Source organism: Homo sapiens, chromosome 10 (genome assembly GCF_000001405.40).
Source record: "Homo sapiens chromosome 10, GRCh38.p14 Primary Assembly".
Lineage (NCBI taxonomy): Eukaryota > Metazoa > Chordata > Mammalia > Primates > Hominidae > Homo > Homo sapiens.
In genome coordinates, this window is record NC_000010.11 from 69013875 (window position 1) to 69038028 (window position 24154).

General features: G+C 44.4%; 1 protein-coding gene and 1 pseudogene across 2 annotated transcripts in view, besides 1 other annotated feature; both read left to right on the forward strand.

Moving 5' to 3' along the window:
• Window positions 1-3108, forward strand: part of KIFBP (kinesin family binding protein) — a 28180-nt gene extending 25072 nt beyond the window's left edge. For both annotated transcript variants that reach the window (NM_015634.4, XM_017016067.2), the window contains one exon: window positions 1667-3108. In NM_015634.4, coding sequence (NP_056449.1) covers window positions 1667-2542 — 876 coding nt within the window. In that variant the 3' untranslated portion in view covers window positions 2543-3108. The remainder of the gene's footprint in view (window positions 1-1666) is intronic.
• Window positions 8916-10020, forward strand: ACTBP14 (ACTB pseudogene 14; annotated as a pseudogene).
• Window positions 10637-10716: a silencer, noted in NCBI's record as "silent region_2425". NCBI's record gives its function as "represses an Ori minimal core promoter by ATAC-STARR-seq in GM12878 lymphoblastoid cells {active_cell/tissue: GM12878}" and the evidence as "EXISTENCE:reporter gene assay evidence [ECO:0000049][PMID:35858748]".

A 24154-nucleotide genomic window follows, 5' to 3' on the forward strand; every position in this document is an offset into this window, starting at 1 on the left:
AAGTAACTGGGACAACAGGTGTGTGCCACTGTGCCCGGCTAATTCTTTGTATTTTTGTTAGAGACGATGTTTTACCATGTTGCCCAGGCTGGTCTTGAACTCTTGAGCTCAAGCGATCCACCCACGTCGGCCTCCCAAAGTGCTGGGATTACAGGTGTGAGCCACTGCGCTCACCCCTGACTTTATTTTTTAACCTTAACTTCATCCTTTATCATCTGTATATTTATCTGAAAGACCTTCTTCAGTTCAAGCTTTAAGACATACATAAATTTATTCAATTAAGTATTTATTTATGCCAACCCTGTGCTAGTCATTGGCCAAGGATACTATGATGAACAAAAATGAACCTAGCCTTTAACTTCATGTAAAAGTACAATTTTGCTAAGTTCCACAAAGGAGAGACACATGATATGAGAAGGCACAATAGGAGGAAATAACAAGCAAGCTCTGGGGATGAGTAAGTAGGAGTTACCTAGACTGAAGAAAAGAAGGCACACCATGTCAAGGAGCTGAAGCAACATGTTTAGAAGTTCTGTGGCGTAAGGGAGGATGATATCAGAAGGGATGGAGCAAAGGCTGTGAGGTTGGAGCTGAGGGAGAGGGAGTGTGATATAAGCTAAAGTTAGAGTTAGAAAGGGGCTGGAGCAATCAAGGCTTTGAAGCATTGTTGTCTTCATCTTCTGAGCATTTGGAAACCTTGAAGGGTTTGTGGAAAGATCATTGGTGAGACAGTGTCAAGTGAAAAGAAGAAAAGGCCTTGGGATCTATTATTTATTTTTATTGGCCAAGAAGAGCTTACCCTATTTCTTAACCACCTTAGTTATTCTTTCTTTTTTTATTTGCCCCCCCCCACCCCCAAGAGGTAGAGGAGATAAAACTTTAACTAGGAAGGTAGATTTAACTCTTTGTTCACTTTGATGTCTTTAAGAGACCTAGAGCATTTCTGTCTGATATATTTCACTAAATAACTAATAGCATAAACATGGTAGCATTAATCTTAATGGCATCCTTGTGAAACATTTTTATGATGTAGATTACAGTCTTTTTGTTTGTTTGTTTGTTTCTTGAGATGGAGTCTTGCACTGTCACCCAGGCTGGAGTGCTGTGGCGCAATCTCCACTTACTGCAACCTCTGCCTCCTGGGTTCAAGCGATTCTCCTGCCTCAGCCTCTCAAGTAGCTGGGATTACAGGCGCCTGCCACCATGCCTGGCTAATTTTTTATATTTTTAGTAGAGACAGAGTTTCACTATGTTGGCCAGGCTGGTCTTCAACTCCTGACCTCGTGATCTGTCCGCCTTGGCCTCCCAAAGTGCTGGGAGTAATGTATCACATATATATAATGTTTCACAATTCTCAAAGTACTTTTACATGTAGCATTTATCTTATTGGAAGGAGTAACTGTAAATAAATTTCAGTTCCTCAGAATAAATGATATGTAAGCAGCTTGTCTATTTAAATACTTTTTTTTCCACATTTCTTGAGTTTTTAATATAATCGGAAGAAAGAAAGAAGTTTTCAAAGGTGTTTAAGATTATGATACCCTTCTAAACCAGGCTGGAAAGTAAGAGACTTCTCTTCTAAAAAACTCTGAAGTTTGCTTTAATATTATTTAACAGCAGGAGGTGAGTGTCCTACTTAACCATAATTTATTTTTTTTTCCTTCAGGACAACATAGGAGAGCTTGATCTTGATAAACAGTCTGAACTTAGAGCTTTAAGGAAAAAAGAACTAGATGAGGAGGAAAGCATTCGGAAAAAAGCTGTGCAGTTTGGAACCGGTGAACTGTGTGATGCCATCTCTGCAGTAGAAGAGAAAGTGAGCTACTTGAGACCTTTAGATTTTGAAGAAGCCAGAGAACTTTTCTTATTGGGTCAGCACTATGTCTTTGAGGCAAAAGAGTTCTTTCAGATTGATGGTTATGTCACTGACCATATTGAAGTTGTCCAAGACCACAGTGCTCTGTTTAAGGTGCTTGCATTCTTTGAAACTGACATGGAGAGACGGTGCAAGATGCATAAACGCAGAATAGCCATGCTAGAGCCCCTAACTGTAGACCTGAATCCACAGTATTATCTGTTGGTCAACAGACAGATCCAGTTTGAAATTGCACATGCTTACTATGATATGATGGATTTGAAGGTTGCCATTGCTGACAGGCTAAGGGATCCTGATTCACACATTGTAAAAAAAATAAATAATCTTAATAAGTCAGCACTGAAGTACTACCAGCTCTTCTTAGACTCCCTGAGAGACCCAAATAAAGTATTCCCTGAGCATATAGGGGAAGATGTTCTTCGCCCTGCCATGTTAGCTAAGTTTCGAGTTGCCCGTCTCTATGGCAAAATCATTACTGCAGATCCCAAGAAAGAGCTGGAAAATTTGGCAACATCATTGGAACATTACAAATTTATTGTTGATTACTGTGAAAAGCATCCTGAGGCCGCCCAGGAAATAGAAGTTGAGCTAGAACTTAGTAAAGAGATGGTTAGTCTTCTCCCAACAAAAATGGAGAGATTCAGAACCAAGATGGCCCTGACTTAATCCTTGTTTTTAAAGAAAGGAAATGTGCAATATTGAAGTGATCTTTTTCCCTAGTCAGACAGGCCCAATTCCATTGTGATGTTTACCTTTATAGCCAGGTGAGTGCAGTTTGAACTTGAGATACAGTCAACTGAGTGTTTGCTAGGATCCTAAGGAACATAAAGTTAATTAAAAACTTACACCTAATTATGTAAATTGCCTTGTTAAAGACATGTGATTTGTATTTTAGATGCTTGTTTCCTATTAAAATACAGACATTTCTACCCTCAGTTTCTAAATGTAGACTATTTGTTGGCTAGTACTTGATAGATTCCTTGTAAGAAAAAATGCTGGGTAATGTACCTGGTAACAAGCCTGTTAATATATTAAGATTGAAAAAGTAACTTCTATAGTTACTCCTTCTAAAATATTTGACTTCCTAAATTCCCCCCACCCAAAATCTTTCCCTTTTGAAAATACTAAAAACTAAGTTATGTTATTATAAAGTGTAAAATGGTTTGTCTTAATTATAGGAGAAAAAGGCCTTGTTAGAAATAAAATAAACTGACTTATTTCACTAATGAAAACTTCTGTTTCCTTTTTGTTTTCTTGTGAGCACTGATACCTCAATACATTGATACCTCAATACCTTTGAGGTATTTTTTGATACCTCAAAGATACTAGCTTATTTGAAGCTAGAGAAGAATATTTCTTCAATAACATTGCACAGTTAGAAAACATTAAAATATCATTCATGGGCCAGGCACCGTGTCTCATGCCTGTAATCCCGGCACTTTGGGAGGCTGAGGCAGGCGGATCACAAGGTCAGGAGATCGAGACCATCCTGGCTAACACGGTGAAACCCCGTCTCTACTAAAAATACAAAAAATTAGCCGGGCGTGGCCGCGTGCGCCTGTAGTCCCAGCTACTTGGGAGGCTGAGGCAGGAGAATGGCGTGAACCCAGGAGGCAGAGCTTGCAGTGAGCCGAGATTGTGGCACTGCACTCCAGCCTGGGTGACAGAGCGAGACTCTGTCTCAAAAAAAAAATATCATTCATGGCTGAGTGTGGTGGCTTATGCCTGTAATCCCAGCACTTTGGGAGGCTGAGGTAGGAGGATCACTTGAGGCCAGGAGTTCGAGACCAGCCTGGGCAACATAGTGAGACCCCCATCTCTACAAAACATACAAAAATTAGCTGGGGCATGGTGCCACCTGTCTGTAATCCCAGCTACTTGGGAGGCTAAGGTGGGACGATTGCTTAAGCCCAGGAGGCCAAGGCTGTAGTGAACCATAATTGCCACTACAGCCTGGGTGACAGTGAGACCCTGTCTCAAAATAAAATAAAATATTCACTTAGTGAATATTTATTGAGCTACTACTGTGTCCCAGGAAACCTCACTGACTGATTTCTCATCAGAGGATCCTGGCATGTTTATAAACTTTTAAGCACTGTTGAGAAAGGATATATACGTCATAATTAAACCTCGTTAATATGTGTTAGTCATGTTAAGAAATGCAGGAATGGAGTTCCTATCCGGTGTATTGTCAAGATCAGTCGTAACATTTAATATAGAGAATAGCTCTGTGCTTTAGCCTGCCTGTTACTTTGCTTCTCAAAGCCTAGGTCTGGTCAACACTAAGATCCTGTAACATTTATGTAAAAACACACACACACACATGTGAAAATCACCTTGCTTTCCCTTTGAGATCAATTTTCCAGGAAGAAAAATCTTTGAGTATAACAGTCAGAAATGTGTAATTCACTCAATATTTAACTGATGTTTATTCAAGTCTTTACTAAGGTCAGGCCCTGCTCTCACTCTTCTAATCATAGAGGATATGGTGATAAACAGGATAAACAAGGACCTGTTCTCACAGAGTGAATAAACAACTAAGAAAGATAATTTCGGGCCATAAATGCTGTTAAGAAAGGAAAACTGAAATGGTAAGCTTTTTTTTTTTTTTTTTGAGACGGAGTCTCACTCTCTCGCCCAGACTGGAGTGCAGTGCCGTGATCTCAGCTCGCTGCAACTTCTGCCTCCCGGATTCAAGCGATTCTCCTGCCTCAGCCCCCTGAGTAGCTGGGATTACAGGCGCACAACACCACACCTGGCTGATTTTTTGTATCTTTAGTAGAGGCGGGGTTTCACCATGTTGGCCAGGCTGGTCTTGAACTTCTGACCTCAAGTGATCCACCTGCCTCGGCTTCCCAAAGTGCTGGGATTACAGGTGTGAGCCACCACACCCAGCCTGAAATGGTAAACTTTTAATGGAAGGGGTGCTGTCTTAGCTGTGGTGATCTGGAAAGGTCTTTGAGAAGGTGGGAGGTGACACCGAGCTGAGAATGAAATGGGGGAAGAAAGCAGCCAAGTCATCTTTAGGTAGGGTGTTCCCGGGAAGCCAGGCTGGAACAAGCTCAGGAAGGAGTTTGGCATGAGAAAGACCAGTGTGGCTGGAGCAGATAAGGGTGAGGAGTGGGGGCAGCAGTGGGGAGTCCAGATGGAGAGGGCTTTGTAGATCAGGGTAAGGAGTTTGGATTTTATTCGAGGTGCAGTGGGAAACTTCATGGAATTTTAAAAAGGGAAGCAGCATGATCTGATTGGAATTTCTTTTTTATTTTATTTTATTTTATTTTATTTTATTTTTTGAGACAGAGTTTCGCTCTGTGGCCCAGGCTGGAGAGCAGTGGCACGATCTCGGCTCACTGCAAGCGCCACCTCCTGGGTTCACGCCATTCTCCTGCCTCAGCCTCCCGAGTAGCTGGGACTACAGGTGCCTGCCGCCACACCAGGCTAATTTTTTCCATGTTAGCCAGGATGGTCTTGATCTCCTGACCTTGTGATCCGGCCGCCTTGGCCTCCCAAAGTGCTGGGATTACAGGCGTGAGCCACCGTGCCCAGCCAATCTGATTGGAATTTTTAAGAAACTACTCTGGCTCTTAGGGCAAGGAAGGGGGAAGGGACAGTCAAGAACCAGAGGAAGAAGAGAGACAAGTGAGATCCTGTTAAGATTAATCCAAGTGAGAGATGAAAGTGGTTTGGAATAGGATGAGGGAGTAGAGATAGAGAAAAGTGGATAAATTCTGGATGTGTTTTGAACACGCTAGAAGGTAAAGTGTAGAGCATGAGGGGAAAAGAAGAACCATGTTAAGTTGAGGAAGTATGGATGCAAAGCATGTTTTTATGGGGGATACGTGGATTTAGAATTAAGAATTTTGTTTAGGTCATGTTGAGTTTAGGATGTTAAGCTTGAGATGAAATGATTGCTATTTAATAATATCTGCCCATCAGACTTTAAAAGGAAAGCGAGGAGGATCAAGAGGAGGCAAAGAAGGGAGGGAAGTTTCTTGAGGATAGTGATATATGGCACTTCAGCTCTCTTGAGAACTGATTCTAAGACAAATCCCCCTGTTAAAAGCCTTCCTTCATGTAGCCATTTTCCTCTCAACCTTAATCAACTTCATAACTTCATTTATATATCCATTCATTTATTTAAGAAGTACTTAGCTCTTTTTTTCCCCACAAGTATATCCAATGTGTATCTTTATTTGTAATGGAAGATAAAAAATATTGGGGAGTAAAAAACAGGTCTGGGCCGGGCACGGTGGCTCATGCCCATAATCCCAGCACTTTGGGAGGCTGAGGTGGGTGGGTCACCTGAGGTCAGGAGTTTGAGACCAGCCTGACCAACATGGTGAAACCTCACCTCTACTAAAAATACAAAAAAAAATTGGCCAGGCCTGATGGCAAGCACCCGTAGTCCCAGCTACTCAGGAGGCTGAGGCAGGAGAATCGCTTGAACCAGGGAGGCGGAGGTTGCAGTGAGCCGAGATTGCATCAGTGCACTCCAGCCTGGTGACAGAGTGAGACCCTGTCTCAAAACAAAACAACAACAACAACAACAAAAAAACAGGTCTTATATTAAGGGGGATAAAGATAGCTATATCAATACAATGGAATATTATATAGATTTGTACATATTACAGCATACAAGTACAAGTAATTATAAAATGTAAAAGCATGGAAAATGCATGGCTAAATGTCAAGAGGATAGCAACATATTAATTTATAGATATACATTTAACATCTAATTTCAACAATTAAAAATGTATATTTAGCAGGGGGTGGTCATGTGCATCTGTAGCCCCAGCTACTCAGGAAGCTGAGGTGGGAGGATCACCTGAGCCTGGGAGGTTGAAGCTGCAGTGAGCCGGCCGGGCACGGTGTCTCACGCCTGTAATCCCAGCACTTTGGGAGGCCGAGGCGGGCAGAGGTCAGGAGATCAAGACCATCCTGGTCAACATGGTGAAACCCCGTCTCTACTAAAAATACAAAAATTAGCTGGGCGTGGTGGTGCACACTTGTAATCCCAGCTACTTGGGAGGCTGAAGCAGGAAAATCACTTGAACCTGGGAGGCGAAGGTTGCAGGGAGGCGAAGGTTGCAGTGAGCCGAGATCGCGCCACTGCACTCCAGCCTGAGCAACAGAGTGAGTCTCCATCTCAAAAAAAAAAAAAAAAAAAAAAGCTGCAGTGAGCCATGATTGCACCACTGTACGCTAGCCTGGGTGATAAAGTGAGACCATGTCTCTCAATAAATAAATAAATATTTAAAAATATAAAAATGTAAGGCCGGGCGTGGTGGCTCAAACCTATAATCCCAGCACTTTGGGAGACCGAGTCAGGCGGATCATCGAGGTCAGGAGTTCGAGACCAGTCTGGCCAACATGGTGAAACCTCGTCTCTACTAAAAGTACAAAAATTAGTCAGGCATGGCCGGGCGCGGTGGCTCACGCCTATAATCCCAGCACTTTGGGAGGCCGAGGCAGGTAGATCACCAGGGCAGGAGATCGAGACCATCCTGGCTAATACGGTGAAACCCCGTCTCTACTAAAAATACAAAAAATTAGCCGGGCGTGGTGGCCGGCGCCTGTAGTCCCAGCTACTCGGGAGGCTGAGGCAGGAGAATGGTGTGAACCCAGGAGGCGGAGTTTGCAGTGAGCCGAGATCGCGCCACTGCATTCCAGCCTGGGTGATAGAGCGAGACTCTGTCTCAAAAAAAAAAAAAAATTAGTCAGACATGGTGGTGCATGCCTGTTGTTCCAGCTACTTAGGAGGCTGAGGCAGGAGACTCGCTTGAACCTGGGAGATGGAGACTGCAGTGAGCCAAGATCGTGCCACTGCACTCCAGCCTGGGCGACAGCAAAACACTGTCTCAAAAATAAATAAATAAAATAAAATAAAAATAAATAAAAATGTATACTTAGTCAGAGGTGGTGTCATGTGCCTGTGGTCCCAGCTACTCAGGAGGCCGAGACAGGAGGATTGCTTGAGCCCAGGATTTGAGGTCAGCCTGGGCAACACAGTGAGATCCTATCTCTTTAAAAAAAAAAAAGATATACCTGTTAGTGGAAATGTAAAAAAAATGGAAATAGTCATATTGTAATGGAATTATAAACTTTGTTTTTAAGATGGAATTTTGCTCTGTCGCCCAGGCTGGAGGGCAGTGGCATGATCTGGGCTCACTGCAACCTCCGCCTCCTGGGTTCAAGTGATTCTTGTGCCTCAGCCTCCCAAGTAGCTGGGACTACAGGCATGTGCCACCGTGCCTGGCTAATTTTTGTATTTTTAGTAGAGACAAGGTTTCACCATATTGGCCAGGCTGATCTCGAACTCATGACCTCAGGCAATCTGCCTGCCTTGGCCTCCCAAAGTGCTGGGATTACAGGTGTGAGCCATTGCGCCCGGCCACAATTAAAAGCATTTTGTTATTATTTCCTTAATATTGTGATCTTTATCTTTCCAATGAACATTTGAAAATTCTCAGACAACACACTAGGTTTTCATTAGAGGTTTTTTTACCGAGCACTTTTTGTGTGCTAGGTACCTTGAGGACATGATCTCTAAGCCACTGTCTCTTAAACCTTAGCTTTTATTCTTCTTGACTGTGTTATTCAACTTGAATTCAAAAGATAACATTCAATCGGCTGGGCGCAGTGGCTTACGTCTAATCCTGGCACTTTGGGAGGCCGAGGCGGGTGGATTGCCTGAGCTCAGGAGTTTGAGACCAGCCTGGGCAACACAGTGAAACCCTGTCTCTACTAAAATACAAAAAATTAGCTGGGCATGGTGGCACGCGCCTGTAATCCCATCTACTCGGGAGGCTGAGGCAGAAGAATTGCTAGAACCCGGGAGGCAGAGGTTGCAGTGAGCCGAGATCGCGCCACTGCACTCCAGCCAGGGCGACGGAGTGAGACTCCATCTCTTAAAGAAAGAAACAAAAAAGATAAAATTCAGACCGCCAAGACTACATCTGCCCCACCTGCACAGAGCCTCGCCCTCGCCACTCCACAGCCGGTCCGCATGTGCCGCCAGCTCACCAGGGTGATATCACTGGGCTCCAGCAAGGGCAAGGCCAGCTTCGCAGGTGACGATGCCCCGTAGGCCGCCTTCCCCTCCATCTTGGGGCGCCCGCGACACCAGGGCATGATGGTGGGCATGGGCCAGAAGGACTCCAATGTGGGCGATGAGGCCCAGAGCAAGAGAGGCATCCTGACCCTGAAGTACCCCATCTAGCACGGCATGGTCATCTACTGGGATGACATGGAGAAGATCTGGCACCACACCTTCTACAATGAGCTGCATGTGGCTTTCGAGGAGTACCCTGTGCTGCTGACCAAAGGCCCCCTGAATCCCAAGGCCAACCATGAGAAGATGGCCCAGATTATGTTGGAGACCTTCAACACCCCACCCATGCACGTGGCCATCCAGGTCGTGCTGTACCTGTACTCCTCTGGCCATACCACTGGCATCGTGATGGACTCTGGCGACAGGTCACCCACATTGTGTGCATATATGAGGGGCACGCCCTCCCCCACACCATCCTGCGTCTGGATCTCGCTGGCCAGGACCTGACCGACCGCCTTATGAAGATCCTCACATTGTGCGGCTACAGCTTTACCACCCGCAGAGGGAGAGCTCCTGTGTGACATCATCAAGGAGAAGCTGTGCTAAGTCGCCCTGGACTTTGAGCAGGAGATGGCCCCACGGGTCCTCCTGGGAGAAGAGCTATGAGCTGTCAGATGGCCAGGTCATCACCAGCAGCAACAAGCGGTTCCACTGCCCCGAGGCGCTCTTCCAGCCTTCTTTCCTGGGCATGGAATCCTGTGGCATCTACAAAACTACCTTCAAATCCATCGTGAAGTGTGACGTGGACATCCACAAAGACCTGTACGCCAACACAGTGCTATCTGGCAGCACCACCATGTACCCTGGCATCGCTCTGCAGGATGCAGAGGGGGATCACTGCCCTGGCTCCCAGCATGAGGAGGATCAAGATCATTGCTCCTTCTGAGTGCACATACTCTGTGGATGCGTGGCTCCATCCTGACCTCGTTGTCCACCTTCCAGCAGTTATGGATGAGCAAGCAAGAATATGATGACTCCAGTCCTTCCATTGTCCACTGAAAATGCTCCTAGGCGGACTGTTCCTTAGTTGCGTTACACCCTTTCTTGACAAAAACCTAATGCGCAGAAAATAAGATGAGATTGGCATGGCTTTGTTTGTGTGTGTGTGTGTGTTTGTGTTTGTGTTTGTTTTTGGCTTGACTCTGGGTTTAAAAACTGAAACTGTGAAGGTGACAGCAGTCGGTTGGAGTGAGCATCCTCCAAAGTTCTACAGTGTGGCCAAGGACTTTGACTGTACATTGTTCTTTTTTTTCTTTTTTTAATATTTATTTTATTTATTTATTTATTTTGGGACAGAGTATCACTCTGTTGCCCAGGCTGGAGTGCAGTGATGTGATCTTGGCTCGCTGCAACCTCCACCTCCCAGGTTCAAGTGATTCTCCTGCCTCAGCCTCTTGGTAGCTGGGACTACAGGCATGTGCCACCACGCCCAGCTAATTTTGTTTTTTTTTTTTGTATTTTTTTAGTAGATACGGGGTTTCACCATGTTGGTCAGGTTTTTAATTTTTTTTGTATTTTTTTAGTAGAGATGGGGTTTCACCATGTTGGTCAGGTTTTTTTTGTCTTTTTTTAGTAGAGACGGGGTTTCACCATGTTGGTCAGGCTGGTCTCAAACTCTTGACCTCAAATGATCTGCTTGCCTCATCCCCCAAAGTGCTGGGATTACAGGCGTGGGCCACCGTGTCAGGCCACATTATTCTTTTTTAAATAGTCATTCTAAATATTGTGAGGTGCATTGTTACAGGAAGTCCCTTGCCCTCCCAAAATCCAGCCCACTTCTGTCTAAGGAGAATGGCCGAGTCCACTCTCAAGTCCACACAGGGGAGGTGATAGCATTGCTTTCATGTAAATTATGTAATGCAAAATTTTTAAAATCTCCCCCTTATACTTTTTTGTTTTATTTTGAATGATCAGCCATCGTGGCCCGCCTTTTTTGTCCCCCAGCTTCAGACGTATGAAGGCTTTTGGTCTCCCTGGGAGTGGGTGGAGGTGTGGAGGCATTCAGGGCTTACCTGTAGAGACCAGTTGAATAAAAGTGCACACCTTAAAAAAAAAAAAAAAGATAAAATTCAAGTATAACAGACAGTGGTCTTAAAACCAGTCTTTATCCCAATAGCCATCAACATACTCTGTTGTTTGTCATTTGTTCTCTGTAGTGACTTGTTACATTTTAAGACTGTATTTTTAGTTATCAGAAGAAAATCTCATTGGCTGCTTTGCAGTCCTGCCCTCTGTTCACATAGCCTATGCCACAAACACTGCTTTCCCTGAGCCTGGCTTCCCAGAGACAGCTGTCTTCCAAGACCTCAAGGCCCCTTTGCACTTAAAATTATTGAGGACACCAAAGATCTTTTGTTTATGTACATTATATATTTCTATATTTACCCCATTTGAAATTTAAGTGGATACATTTTAATAATTTATGTTAAAATGACAATAATAAACCCATTGCATTTAAAGATAACTTTTTTTTTTTTGAGATGGAGTCTCTCTCTGTTGCCCAGGCTGCAGTGTAGTGGCACAATCTTGACTCACTGCAACCTCTGCCTCCCGAGTTTAAGTGATTCTCCTGCCTCAGCCTCTGGAGTAGCTGGAATTACAGGCATTTGCCACCATGCCCGGCTAATTTTTGTATTTTGACTAGAGATGGTGGTTTCACTGTGTTGGCCAGGCTAGTCTTGAACCGCTGACCTCAGGTGATCTGCCTGCCTGGGCCTCCCAAAGTGCTGGGGTTACAGGCGTGAACCTGTAATCACCTTACAATGTGTTTATACAGGCTGACATTATTGAGTGCTAACTAATCTATTCCAGGCACTCTGCTAAGCAGTTTATATACATTATCTCAAGTAATTGTCTCAAAACTCCATGACACTGATACTATTACCCTCCCACAGAATGTGTAACTTTGGCTTAGGGAGAGCTTCAATGACTTGCCCAAGGTCAGATAGCTAGTAAATGGCAGAGCTGTTTGAACCAATGTCAACATGAATATCTTTTATAAAGTTAACAAGAAGTTAGTTCTATCAATTTTAGTTTGAATGGACTGTAAGAAGGGACAACTACACCTCACGTAAAATTGCTGATAAGCCAGACAGAAGCGACAAAAGAAATCAACCTCAAATCACACAATGTCCAAATCAGAATTATAGCTGTATCTATACAGATAGAGAGTTTTAAAAATTATCCATTTTGTTTCTAAGTAGTTGTAGCAATGTTTCTTCTTTTTAATTTAAAAAAAAAATACTGGCTGGGTGCAGTGGCTCGCGCCTATAATCCGAGCACTTTGGGGGGTCAAGGTGGGTGGATCACTGAGGCCAGGAGTTTGAGACCAGCCTGACTAACATGGCAAGACCCTGTCTTTACTAAAAATACAAAAATTAGCCAGGCATGGTGGCACACACCTGTAATCCCAGTCACTCAGGAGGCTGGGGCAGGAGAATCGCTTGAACCCGGGAGGTGGAGGTTGGAGTGAGCCAAGATTGCACCACTGTACTCCAGCCTGGGTGACAGAGTGAGATGCTTCTCAAAAAATAAATAAATAAATATATTTATTTATATAAAAAAGAAAGGGAAAAATATATATTTATATAAAAATATATTTATATAATATATTATATGTGTATGTATTTTTCCTCTTCTTTTTTATAGAGATGGGGGTCTTGCCATGTTGTCCAGACTGGTCTCAAACTCCTGGGCTCAAGCAATCCTCCCACCTCAGCCTCCCAAAATGCTGGGATTACAGGCCTGAGCCTGTAACTAAACTTGAGGCATGAGTCTGTTTCTAAGCTTGCCATAGACACCTTCAGTGCATGTCTGCTTTTTGATTACCACAGTTGCTAATCGTGGGTTATAAAAATATAGAATTCAAATATGTTAGGGCAATAATAAATTATATATAGATGCATTGATGTTGCAGTACATAAATGAGCCTTTCAGTCATTTTGCATTCTAGATAGATGTAATCTTTTTTAAAAAAATTAATTGCTTTCATCTTGAGCCTGGGATGTCAAGGCTGCAGTGAGCCATGATTGCATTACTGCACTGCAGCCTGGGTGACAGAGAGAGACCCTGTGTCATAAACATAAATAAATATTTTTAAAAAGATTCTAAGGCTGAGCATGGTGGCTCACACCTATAATCCCAGCACTTTGGGAGGCTGAGGCAGGAGGATTGCTTGAGACTAGGAGTTCGAGACCAACCTGGGCAACATAGGGAGACTCCTGTCTCTACAAATAAAAATTAAGAAAAATTTATTAGAGGCTGCAATGTCTATTACTATTTTTAAGTTATTTATTATTATTAGGGTTTGAAAAAAATCTAGGATGGGAAAACAAAATTCAAGAATGCAACCAGGAACTATGTGTCAAGGAGAAATCCCAGAGAAAGTATAGCTTTCGTTAAGCCTCGCCCATATAACTCATAATGCAACCAGAGTCTTTTTTTTCTTTTTTTTTTTTTTTTTTTGAGATGGAGTCTCGCTCTGTTGCCCAGGCTGGAGTGCAGGGGCATGATCTCGGCTCACTGCAACCTCTGCCTCCCACGTTCAAACGATTCTCCTGCCTCAGCCTCCCGAGTAGCTGGGATTACAGGTGCCCGTGACCATACCTGGCTAATTTTTGTATTTTTGGTACAGACGGGAATTTCACTGCGTTGGCCAGGCTAGTTGAGAACTCCTGACCTCAGGTGATCCTCCAGCCTCAGCCTCCCAAAGTGCTGGGATTACAGGCATAAGCCACCTTGCCTGGCCCCAACCACACTCTTTAAGCCAGTAACCTCTTTCTCAGGAAGGTCATGACCCAATATTAATTTTTCATCTACAGGAAGTGACAAGAAGGCTTTATACATGTGCTGTGTAAAAATGGAGTTCAAAATGTAGTTAATAGAAACAGACCTGAGAATGTGCTAGATGATTATGAATTGCTGAATCTGACATGACCTACAGCAGCCACACACCAACTCTACCAGTACACAGCTCTTTCTCCCCACTTCCTTCTGAATTATCTCACCCACTTTTTCTCCACTGGTTATCTTAATCATTTTGCCTTTCCTGTTACCACTCTAAGTCAGGTTTTGTTATAAGAACTCATCACCCTTTAGTTATCTATACTTTTGTGTGGATGATTTTTATGCTTTAAATTTACCCAAAACCTATTGCTTAGACACTAAGAAAATGGAACAAACATGCAAGAAATGTTAACAATGAAAACAGAATAATTTCCAATCTGCTCCACTGATTGATTGTGCAAAACTGTAGGATGGCTTTATGTTCAGAATCATTGCCCTTTTAGACTCAAGAGTTTTGAACTCTGCTTCCAAAGAGTTAATCCTTCATCCGTGTTTTCTGTGCATGGAGCCCATAAAATCTAATTACATTCCGCTTCTAAATAAAGAGAAATGACTCCCAAATTCGTCTGGAAAAGTAGCTTTTTTTTTTTGAGACAGAGTCTCGCTCTGCTGCCCAGGCTAGAGAGCAGTGGTGTGATCTTGGCTCACTGCAACCTCCACCTCCCAGGTTCAAGTGATTCTCCTGCCTCGGCTGAGTAGCTGGGACTACAGGTGTGCACCACTGCATCTATCTAATTTTTAAATTTTTAGTAGAGATGAGGTTTCACCATGTTGGCCAGGCTGGTCTCAAACCCCTGACCTCAAGTGATCTACCTGCCTCAGCCTCCCAAAGTGCTGGGATTACAGGTGTGAGCCACTGAGCCCGGCCAGGTTTTGTTCACTGAGGATGTGCCAGTGTCCCAAGTTGTAAAAAGTTAATTCCATAGGCTTGCTTCTTACCTTCTTAGTTCGAAAATCATATATATCTCATCGTAGGAATACACTAAGGCGTGGATACTAAATATAGAAAGTATGTTTGGGATGATCTGACTTGAAATATGGTTGTGTTATGAATGGAAATCACTTTGTGTTACATTGGGGTGCATAGAGAACTAGGCAGAACTCTCAGAGCAGCTGATAAGGTGCTAGAGAAGTGGGGTGCCGTGGCTCACACCTGTAATCCCAGCACTCTGGGAGGCAGAGGCAGGTGGATCACCTGAGGTCAGGAGTTCGAGACCAGCCTGGCCAACATGGTGAAACTCCATCTCTACTAAAAATACAAAAATTAGCCAAGCGTGGTTGTGGGCACCTGTAATCCCAGCTACTCGGGAGGCTAAGGCAGGAGAATTGCTTGAACCCGGGAGGCAGAGGTTGCAGTGAGCCAAGATTGCACCACTGAACTCCAGCCTGGGTGACGGAGTGAGACTCCGTCTCAAAAAAAAAAAAAAAAGAAAAGAAGGTGCAAGAGGCCGAGATGCTACTAAGCCGACACAGAAAACAAATAGGTCTCAGCTATGAGCTCCAAATTTCAGTATTGATTGCTAATTAATCTGCTTCTCACATGAGCAACTCTGTGTTCCTGGGTCAGCAGCAGGGATTTGTTTGTATCATTCAATTATTTAATGATAGTTACAAATTTAACTTAATAATAATATACAATGATATGCTGAATAATGGAGGTAATTATACTTAACATCATAATTTTAATATAGATTGTATCTGCATTCAATGTAAGGCATTGTTTCCTAGAGTCAAGTCCCAGGACTATGTGCATCAGAAACATTTAGTGATACTTATTAAAATGCAGATTCCTAGGCTCTGGCTCAGACCTGATGAGAAACTCTGGGAGGTGAGGTCCAGGAATCTACGTTTTAGCAGAACCCCATGTGATATTTATGTACATTAAGGTGCTAGAACCCCATGCTTCTGTAATTAAGGAAGCTCAAACTACAGAGTATTGGAAAAGCTTTTACAGGGAGAAGCATCTGAATCAGAAAGTTATTCCCAAGGGGAACCCAGCCTGGGGACAGAGGGACACAATAAGTGTTCCCAGCTGCCTTAGGAGCCTAGGAGCTGCAACCCTCTCCTTCCCTGGAGCTCCCTGTGCTGGGAGGAGAATTCTGCTGTGTGGACCCCAACTGGGGGCTAAGCCTGGTAACCACAGCAGTGGGTCTCTCAGGGATCTAAGGGGAGATCTCCGAGATGAAAGGTAGGCACTCTCTAATGACCTTTGAAGAATATTCTAGATTGCTTCAAGGAAGATGAGAAAAAGAAAAGAGAGATTGTTTGACTAGGAACACAGACTGGGCAGGAGTCATTCCTGGGGCATTTGAATGGAATTACCCAAATGGTTGTCCCAGGGCTGTGGTAATTAACTATTTCCTCGGCAATCTAGAGCCAGGACCATCTCTCAGGAACTCTGCAAGTTTGGAGTAGAGCAAATACTCCAGAATTCCCCCACTTTTGTTCCTGGACTAAACTGAGGATCGGGCTGCTATTTCTCGTGGCCCAATAATGAGACCCAGATGAAACTGGGGAGGAAGAGAGTTTTTATTTCTGCAACCAGCGACAGGGAGAAGGCCTAGAAATTATCGCCAGACCAACTCAAAACTACAAAGTTTTCCAGAGCTTATATACCTTTTAAGCTATATGTCTACGTGTAAGTGTGCATTCGTCTAAAGACATAAGTGATTAATATCTTTTAATCCGTAACTAAGGTGTGAGTCCTGAAGACCTTCCTCTGGAGCCTCAGTAGGTTTACTTAATCTAAATGAGTCCAGGTGCTGGGGTGATTACCTTTATCTTGTCTCCTGCTAAATCATAGAGGTTTGGGGAGTTCCTTTAGACCCCCAGTAAACTTGTTTGTGGACACCTGCGGAATTTCTTCAGATCCACAATAAAACTTGTTTAATCTTAAATGGGTCCTGTTAAGAATTCCTTCCTTATTTTGTGATGCTTCAAGGCCCAGGAAAGGCATATAGGCAAAACTCTTGATGGGCTTTTGTTACATCCCAGCCTTTGTATAAGAAAACTGGCTTCTAATATTCAACTTAACCACTAATTCAGTACTCAAACAGTTGTTATGGAGGCGTGCATTAGTGAGACCTGGCCTGCCACACTTTAACACCCCAAGAAGGGTTATATTCTGGTGATGTCTGGTTAAAATAAAAACTGAATGCCTGCTTATAGAGAAGCAATCTTTCCTCCTATAGCAGACAGAGCATGCCTTCCCCGGGGAAATCCACATCTGCAGGATGGAGACATTTTGTATCTAAAACCTACATTTAGTGCTATCTTCCTTTGTTTTTTGTTGTTTGTTTGGTTTTCTTTTGAGACAGAGTTTCACTCCACCACCCAGGCTGGAGTACAGTGCCTGGATCTTGCCTCACTGCAACCTCACCTCCTGGGTTCAAGTGATTCTCATGCCTCAGCCTCCAAGTAGCTGGAATTACAGATGTGTGCCATCATGCCTGGCTAATTTTTGTAGTTTTAGGAGAGATAGGGTGTCGCCATATTGGCCAAGCTGGTCTCAAACTCTTGACCTCAAGTGATCTGCCTGCCTCGGCATCCCAAAGTTCTGGGATTGCAGGCGTGAGCCACTGTGCCCGATCAGTACTATCTTCCTTTGAAGGGGATAAAAGTCACATGCCAGGTGGATGAGAGCTTGGAACTTGGTGAATGAGAAAAATGCAGTTCTCCCCTCATATTTCTGCAGCCAGGCAGCCCAATTTATTAATATATGCACATACAGTGCATACAGCACAGAGTGGACTTAGCCATTGACTGGAGGTCCAGGGACCTCCTTGCTGCTGTCCTAATGCTAACTTTTCAGTCCTCACGATTCCTGGCATTTAATTGACTGACTGCTTCCTCCTTTTTTTTTTTCTTCCTTTTGAGACAGAGTTTCACTCTTGTTGCCCAGGCTGGAGTGCAGTGGCGTGATCTCGGCTTACTGCAATCTCCACCTCCCGGGTTCAAGCAATTCTCCTGCCTCAGTCTCCTAAGTAGCTGGAATTATAGGCACCTGCCACTATGCTCGGCTAATTTTTTTGCATTTTTAGTAGAGACAGGGTTTCACCATGTTGGCCAGGCTGGTTTTGAACTCCTGACCTCAAGTGATCCGCTTGCTTTGGCCTCCCAAAGTGCAAGGATTACAGGTGTGAGCCACTGCACCTGGCTGACTGTTTCCTCCTTGAAGCTCCTTCCTCCTTTTCCGTCTACAACACTGCACTTTTCTATTCTTCTATCTTACCAGCCTTTCCTTATGTTTCCTCTAGGGCCTTTTCAATCTATCACTTGACTGTAATGATCCTTAGGATTGTGATGTAGGCTTCTAGCCTCTCCAGGCACCCCAGGGCAATGCTGTTCATTCCTTTTTTTCTTCTTTTCCTTTTTCTTTTGAGACAGGGTCTCACTCTGTCATCTAGGCTAGAGTGCAGTGGCGTGAACTTGGCTCACTGTAGCTTTGACCTTCCAGGCTTAAGCGATCTTCCCACCTCAGCCTCCAGAATAGCTGAGACTACAGGTGCATGCCACAATGCCTGGCTAATTCTGTTCACTTTTTGTAGAGAGGGGGTCTCACTATATTGCCCAGGCTGGTCTTGAACTCCTGGGTTTAAGGGATCCTTCTGCCTCAGCCTCCCAAATGCTGGGATTACAGACATGTGCCACCTCGCCTGGCCTCATACTTAAGACATATTACTTACCATCTATATCTAATTCTTCATCTTAAAAAAAATTGTTTTAGAGATGAGGGTCTCACTATATTCATATTGCCCTGGATTCCTGGGTTCAAGCAATCCTCCCTCCCCAGGCTCCCAAGTAGCTGGGATTATATTTTCAAGTCACTGTGACTGGCTTTTATTTTTATTTTTTTCATTAGTTCTTCATCTGTTTGGCTTACTTATCCTTAAATTAGAATTTATTGAATGCTACTGTCTCTTTCTCTCTCTCTCACATGTGCACACATACATATACTTTTATTCATTTCCTTTTTAGTTATTTTATTATAAATAAGTACATATATACTTAATTTTTAAATTTATTATTATTATTTTGAGTTGGAGTCTCGCTCTGTTGCCCAGGCTGGAGTGCAGTGGCACGATCTCCACTCACTGCAACCTCTGCCTCCCAGGTTCAAGCGATTCTCCTGCCTTAGCCTCCTGAGTAGCTGGGACTACAAGTGCATGCCACCACGCCTGGCTAATTTTTTGTATTTTTAGTAGAGACAGGGTTTCACCATGTTAGCCAGGATGGTCTTGATCTGCTGATTTCATGATCCACCCACCTCGGCCTCCCAAAGTGCTGGGATTATAGGTGGGAGCCACCACGCCTGGCCAAGATCCATCTCCTAAAAAAAAATAAATTTAAGAAACACCCGAAATTTGGCCAGGCATGGTGGCTCATGCCTGTAATCCCAGCATTTTGGGAGGCTGAGGCGGGTGGATCACCTGAGGTCAGGAGTTCGAGACCAGCCTGGCCAACATGGTGAAACCCTGTCTCTACTAAAAATACAACAATTAGCTGGGCATGGTGGCACGCGCCTGTAATCCCAGCTACTCAGGAGGCTGAGGGAGGAGAATCACTTGAACTCGGGAAGGGGAGGTTGCAGTGAGCCGAGATCACGACATCACACTCCAGCCTGGGGGACAAGAGCAAGACTGTCTCAAAAAAAAAAAGAAACACCCCAATTTGAAAATAATAGTTGCAAGCAGTTTAAAATGAAAGTGCCAGTCCCAGTCTCTAGTACTATTGTTCCCTACTCATTCCCCTCCACCACTCCCAGGAGAAAATCTGTTTAACCGTCTTTTGGTGGTTACCTGGACATGTTGTAATAACATGTTCATATCACTATTTCTTGATTTAGCAATTTAAAACATTATCTGTTGATTTCTCCAATGATGGCAAATGATTTAATTCACTTACAACACCCCACTTCCCCTCCTCACTTCTTTCAATGTATCTCCCAATATAACACTTTTTTGTTAAACCATATATGTAATATATATACATATATCTACTTGCATATGTATAATACATATAGTAAATTTGTAGATATAGGTGTGTGTTGTTCTATTTCTTGACCACCCACTAAGATAAGAATATTAGTGCCCCTACCCTTCAAACTTCCCTTTCTTCATCAACCTCACAAATCCTCTGTATTCTCATTTATACATTGTCAGGGGTTATGCATACATTCTATTATGTGGTCATAATTATTAGTATGTCTCTTAGCCGGGCATTGTGGTGGGCACCTGTAATCACAGCTACTTGGGAGGCTGAGGCAGGAGAATTGTGTGAACCTGGGAGGTGGAGGTGGCAGTGAGCCGAGATCGTGCCACTGCCCTCCAGCCTGGGCAACAGAGTGAGACTCCTTCTCAAGAAAAAAAAAATTATTACTGTATCTCTGTCTGTAGGGAGATCCTGAAGGTTAGTAATCAATCAACAAATATTGTCTACATTATGACTGTGTATATATATATTGCCCACTGCAGAATCAAGTAAAATATACGTCACCATTATTGTTGTTGATTTGAGACAGGGTCCGTCTCTGTTACCCAGGCTGGAGTGCAGTGAGGTGATCATGGCTCACTGCAACATCAACCTCCCAGGCTCAAGTGATCTTCCCACCTCAGTCTCCCATATAGCTGAGACTATAGGCATGCACCACCACACCCGGCTAATTTATTTTTATTCTTTGTAGAGATAAAGGTCTCCCTATGTTGCACAGGCTGGTCTCCAACTCCTGGGCTCAGGCAATCCTTGCACCTTGGCCTCCCAAAGTGCTGGGATTACAGGCATGAGCCACTGTGCCCAGCCTGAAATATACTTTGATTATGTTCCTTTCCTGCACAGATTTGTGTTCTTCCTGGAGTTCCTAACTTTGCTCTTTTTCCTTTCAGTATTTGCCCTTAATATCTTCAGATTGTCAAACTCACCATCATCATAACCAATTCTATAGAGTTATTTTCTCCCCCAAAGACCTCCCTCCAGGAGCTCCCCTTCCTACTCCAGTCCGGGCTGATTGTTCTCTGACTGCTGCTCAGCTACCACCCTGGAATGTGGAGGTGGAGGTGAGATGCCTCTCTAAGAAGATGAGCTGGGGCTGGGTGAGGTGGCTCATGCCTGTAATCCCAGAACTTTGGGAGGCCAAGGTGGGCAGATCACTTGAGGTCAGGAGTTCGAGACCAGCCTGGCCAACGTGGTGAAACCCCCGTATCTATAAAAATACAAAAATTAGTAGGGCATGGTGGCAGGCACCTGTAGTCCCTGTTACTTGGGAGGCTGAGGCATGAGAATTGCTTGAACCCGGGAGGTGGAGGTTGCAGCGAGGTGAGATCACACCTGCCTGGGTGACAGAACGAGACTCTGTCTCGAAAAAAAAAAAAAGATGAGCTGGGAGGTGAGGTGCACAGTTTGGGAAGGAGGCGAGCCCTCTTGGATCTGCAAGTCAGCAGGCTCACCCAAAATGAGTCTTGTGTGTCGACACCGAGGAAAGAAGTTCACCTGGCCGAGCTGGGATGAAGGAAGAGACACATGCAGTTACGATAGGCAGAGGAAGCATGGCATGTTTTGCAGGGGAAGAGATGGAAAGACTTGGGTTAGTTTTAGCACCAAAGGCTCAGAGAGAAAAATAAGGAGATCAATCCTGGCTGAAGACACTGAAAGAAGTACTGATCAAGACAGAAGGCCCGGCTTGGTGCGGTGGCTGACACCTGTCATCCCAGCATTTTGAGAGGTTGAGGCAGGAGGATCATTTGAGCATAGAAGTTCAAGACCAGCCTGGGCAACATAGGGAGACCCCCATCTTGGAAAAAAATAATTAATTAATTAGCCAGACATGTTGGCACAGGCCTGTAGACCCAGCTACTTGGGAGGCTGAGGTGGGAGGATTACTTGAGCCTGGGAGATCGCACTATGAGGCCAGAGGGTAGATTGGGGCCAGACAGAGCAGCCCATGAAGGACCTGAATTCCGGGTGAGGAGTGTGGGCTTGTCCTGCAGGCAGGCAGGTGGAGTCACTGGCTATGCTTTAACAGAGGTGTGTTATGAACCAACTGCTGAAATACTGGATGTTTTAGTTTTCCATTTGCTGTAACAAATTACCACAAACTTGGTGGTTAAAACTACATGAATTTACTATTTTACAGTTCCGTAGTTCTGTGTAAGTCTGACATGAGTCTTAGTGGCATAAAACTTAGGTGTTGACAAGGCTGCAGGCCTCTCTGGAGGTTCTAGAGAGAGTTTTCTTACCTTCTCCAGCCTCCAGAGGCTGCCCACATTGCTTGGCTTGTGGCCCCTTCTGTCGTCTTCAAGCTGGCGAAGGCAAGTCTAGCCCCTCTCACATCACATCATTAGGACCTATCTTTTGTCTTTTGTCTTCCTCTTCCACTTCTGTGAGAAAGGACCTCTGTGATGATGTTGGGCCCACCCGGATGATCCAGGAGAATCTCTCTTTTTTAAGAGCATATGATTGGCCAGGCGCGGTGGCTAACACTTGTAATCCCAGCACTTTGGGAGGCTGAGGTAGGCGGATCATGAGGTCAGGAGATCAAGACCACGGTGAAACCCCAGCTCTACTAAAAATATAAAAAATTAGCCAGGCCTGATGGCGGGTACCTGTAGTCCCAGCTACCTGGGAGGCTGAGGCAGGAGAATGGCGTGAACCCGGGAGGCAGAGCTTGCAGTGAGCTGAGATCGTGCCACTGCACTCCAGCCTGGGCGACAGAGCTAGATTCCGTCTCAAAAAAAAAAAGGGGGGGGGGCATATGATTAGCAGCCTTAATCCATCTGCATCCCCAATTTCCCTTTGCTGTGTAAGGCAACAGTCACCATTTCTAGGAATTAGGACAATTAAGACATGGACATCTTTGGGGAGGTGGTGGTGCTATTATTCTCCCTACTACATTGTATTAGTCGGGTCTCTTTGCAAGTACAAAAGAAAGAAAGAAAAAAGAAAAGAAAAGAACCATGTATTGACTTAGATAACCGAGTGCTCAGCATCTTTCTCGCTTTACCTCTTGGATCTGCTTTCCTTGCTGTTGATTTTGGGCAGTCTCTTTCCATGAGTGGCCCTGGAGCCCCAGGCTTACATCCTACCAGCTTAGCAATGTTAACGAAGGGTCCTCTCTCCTGGTAATTTTAGCATAACCCAGGATGATGAGTATTGACTCTCACTAACCCATCTTCTGTCCAGGGCTGTCCCTGGACCAAACCCTGTGGCCTAGGAGAAATTCTCATGGGTCAGGCATGAATTTCATATGCATCCCTGAAGCTGAAACTTCAGAAGCCCCCCTAAAGCACAGGGAATGAGACCTGGGGGCTGGTGATTCCTTAGAGGAAAACTGGCAGATTGCTATCCCCAAAACAACAATGGCGGTGATAATTGCACAACAGTGTGAATATACTTAATGCCACAGAACGGTACACTTACAGATGAGTAAGGCTGGGCATGGTGGCTCATGCCTGTAATCCCAGCACTTTGGGAGGCCGAGGGGGATGGATCACTTGAGCCCAGGAGTTCAAGAACAGCCTGGTCAACATGGTGAAACCCCGACTCTACTATAAATATAAAAATTAGCTGGGTGTGGCAGTGCGTGCCTATAGTCCCAGCTACTCAGGAGGCTGAGGCAGGAGAATCGCTTGAACCTGGGAGGCAGAGATTGCAGTAAGCCATGATCACATCACTGCACTCCAGCCTGGGTGACAGAGCGAGACCCTGTCTCAAATAAATAAAAAATTGATTAAAATGTTAAACTTTATGTTACGTATATTTTGCCACACACAAAAACACAGAATCAGTCTAGGCTATAGCATCAACCCATGGACTTTTGATGAACCTGCTAAAAAAGAGGATCTTTCTCTTTCTACTGAGGATGCTAGGCTGGTCTGAGCCTAGGATGGAGCTGTTGGGGCCATCATGTCCCCAGGTGAGGAAAGAACCTGCCTGAGAGCAAAGACAACATGAGGAAAGCAGAGCCCGGAGATGCAGGCAGGCAGGTTCCTGATGATGACTGGGACACCTGGACCCAGCTGTGCCTGAAGCCCTCATCTATCCAATAAAGTCCTTATGCTTAGATCAATTCAATTTGAGCTTGAACTGGCCATTAAAAGAGTCCAGACTTATAAAAACAAAAAGTACAAGGGATGGTGGGTAGGAAGCAGCAAGATAAATCTACAAACAGCAATTCCTGGACAAGGGTGAAGCAAGGACAGTCTAAAGGCCAGAAAACAGCAGAATGTTCTTAAACAAATGTAGATGTAAGATGTCGAGAAAATGGAAAGGAAGGATGGTAAGAGAAGCTTTAAATCAGCAATCCTCAAACTTTCTGGTCTTAGGATCCC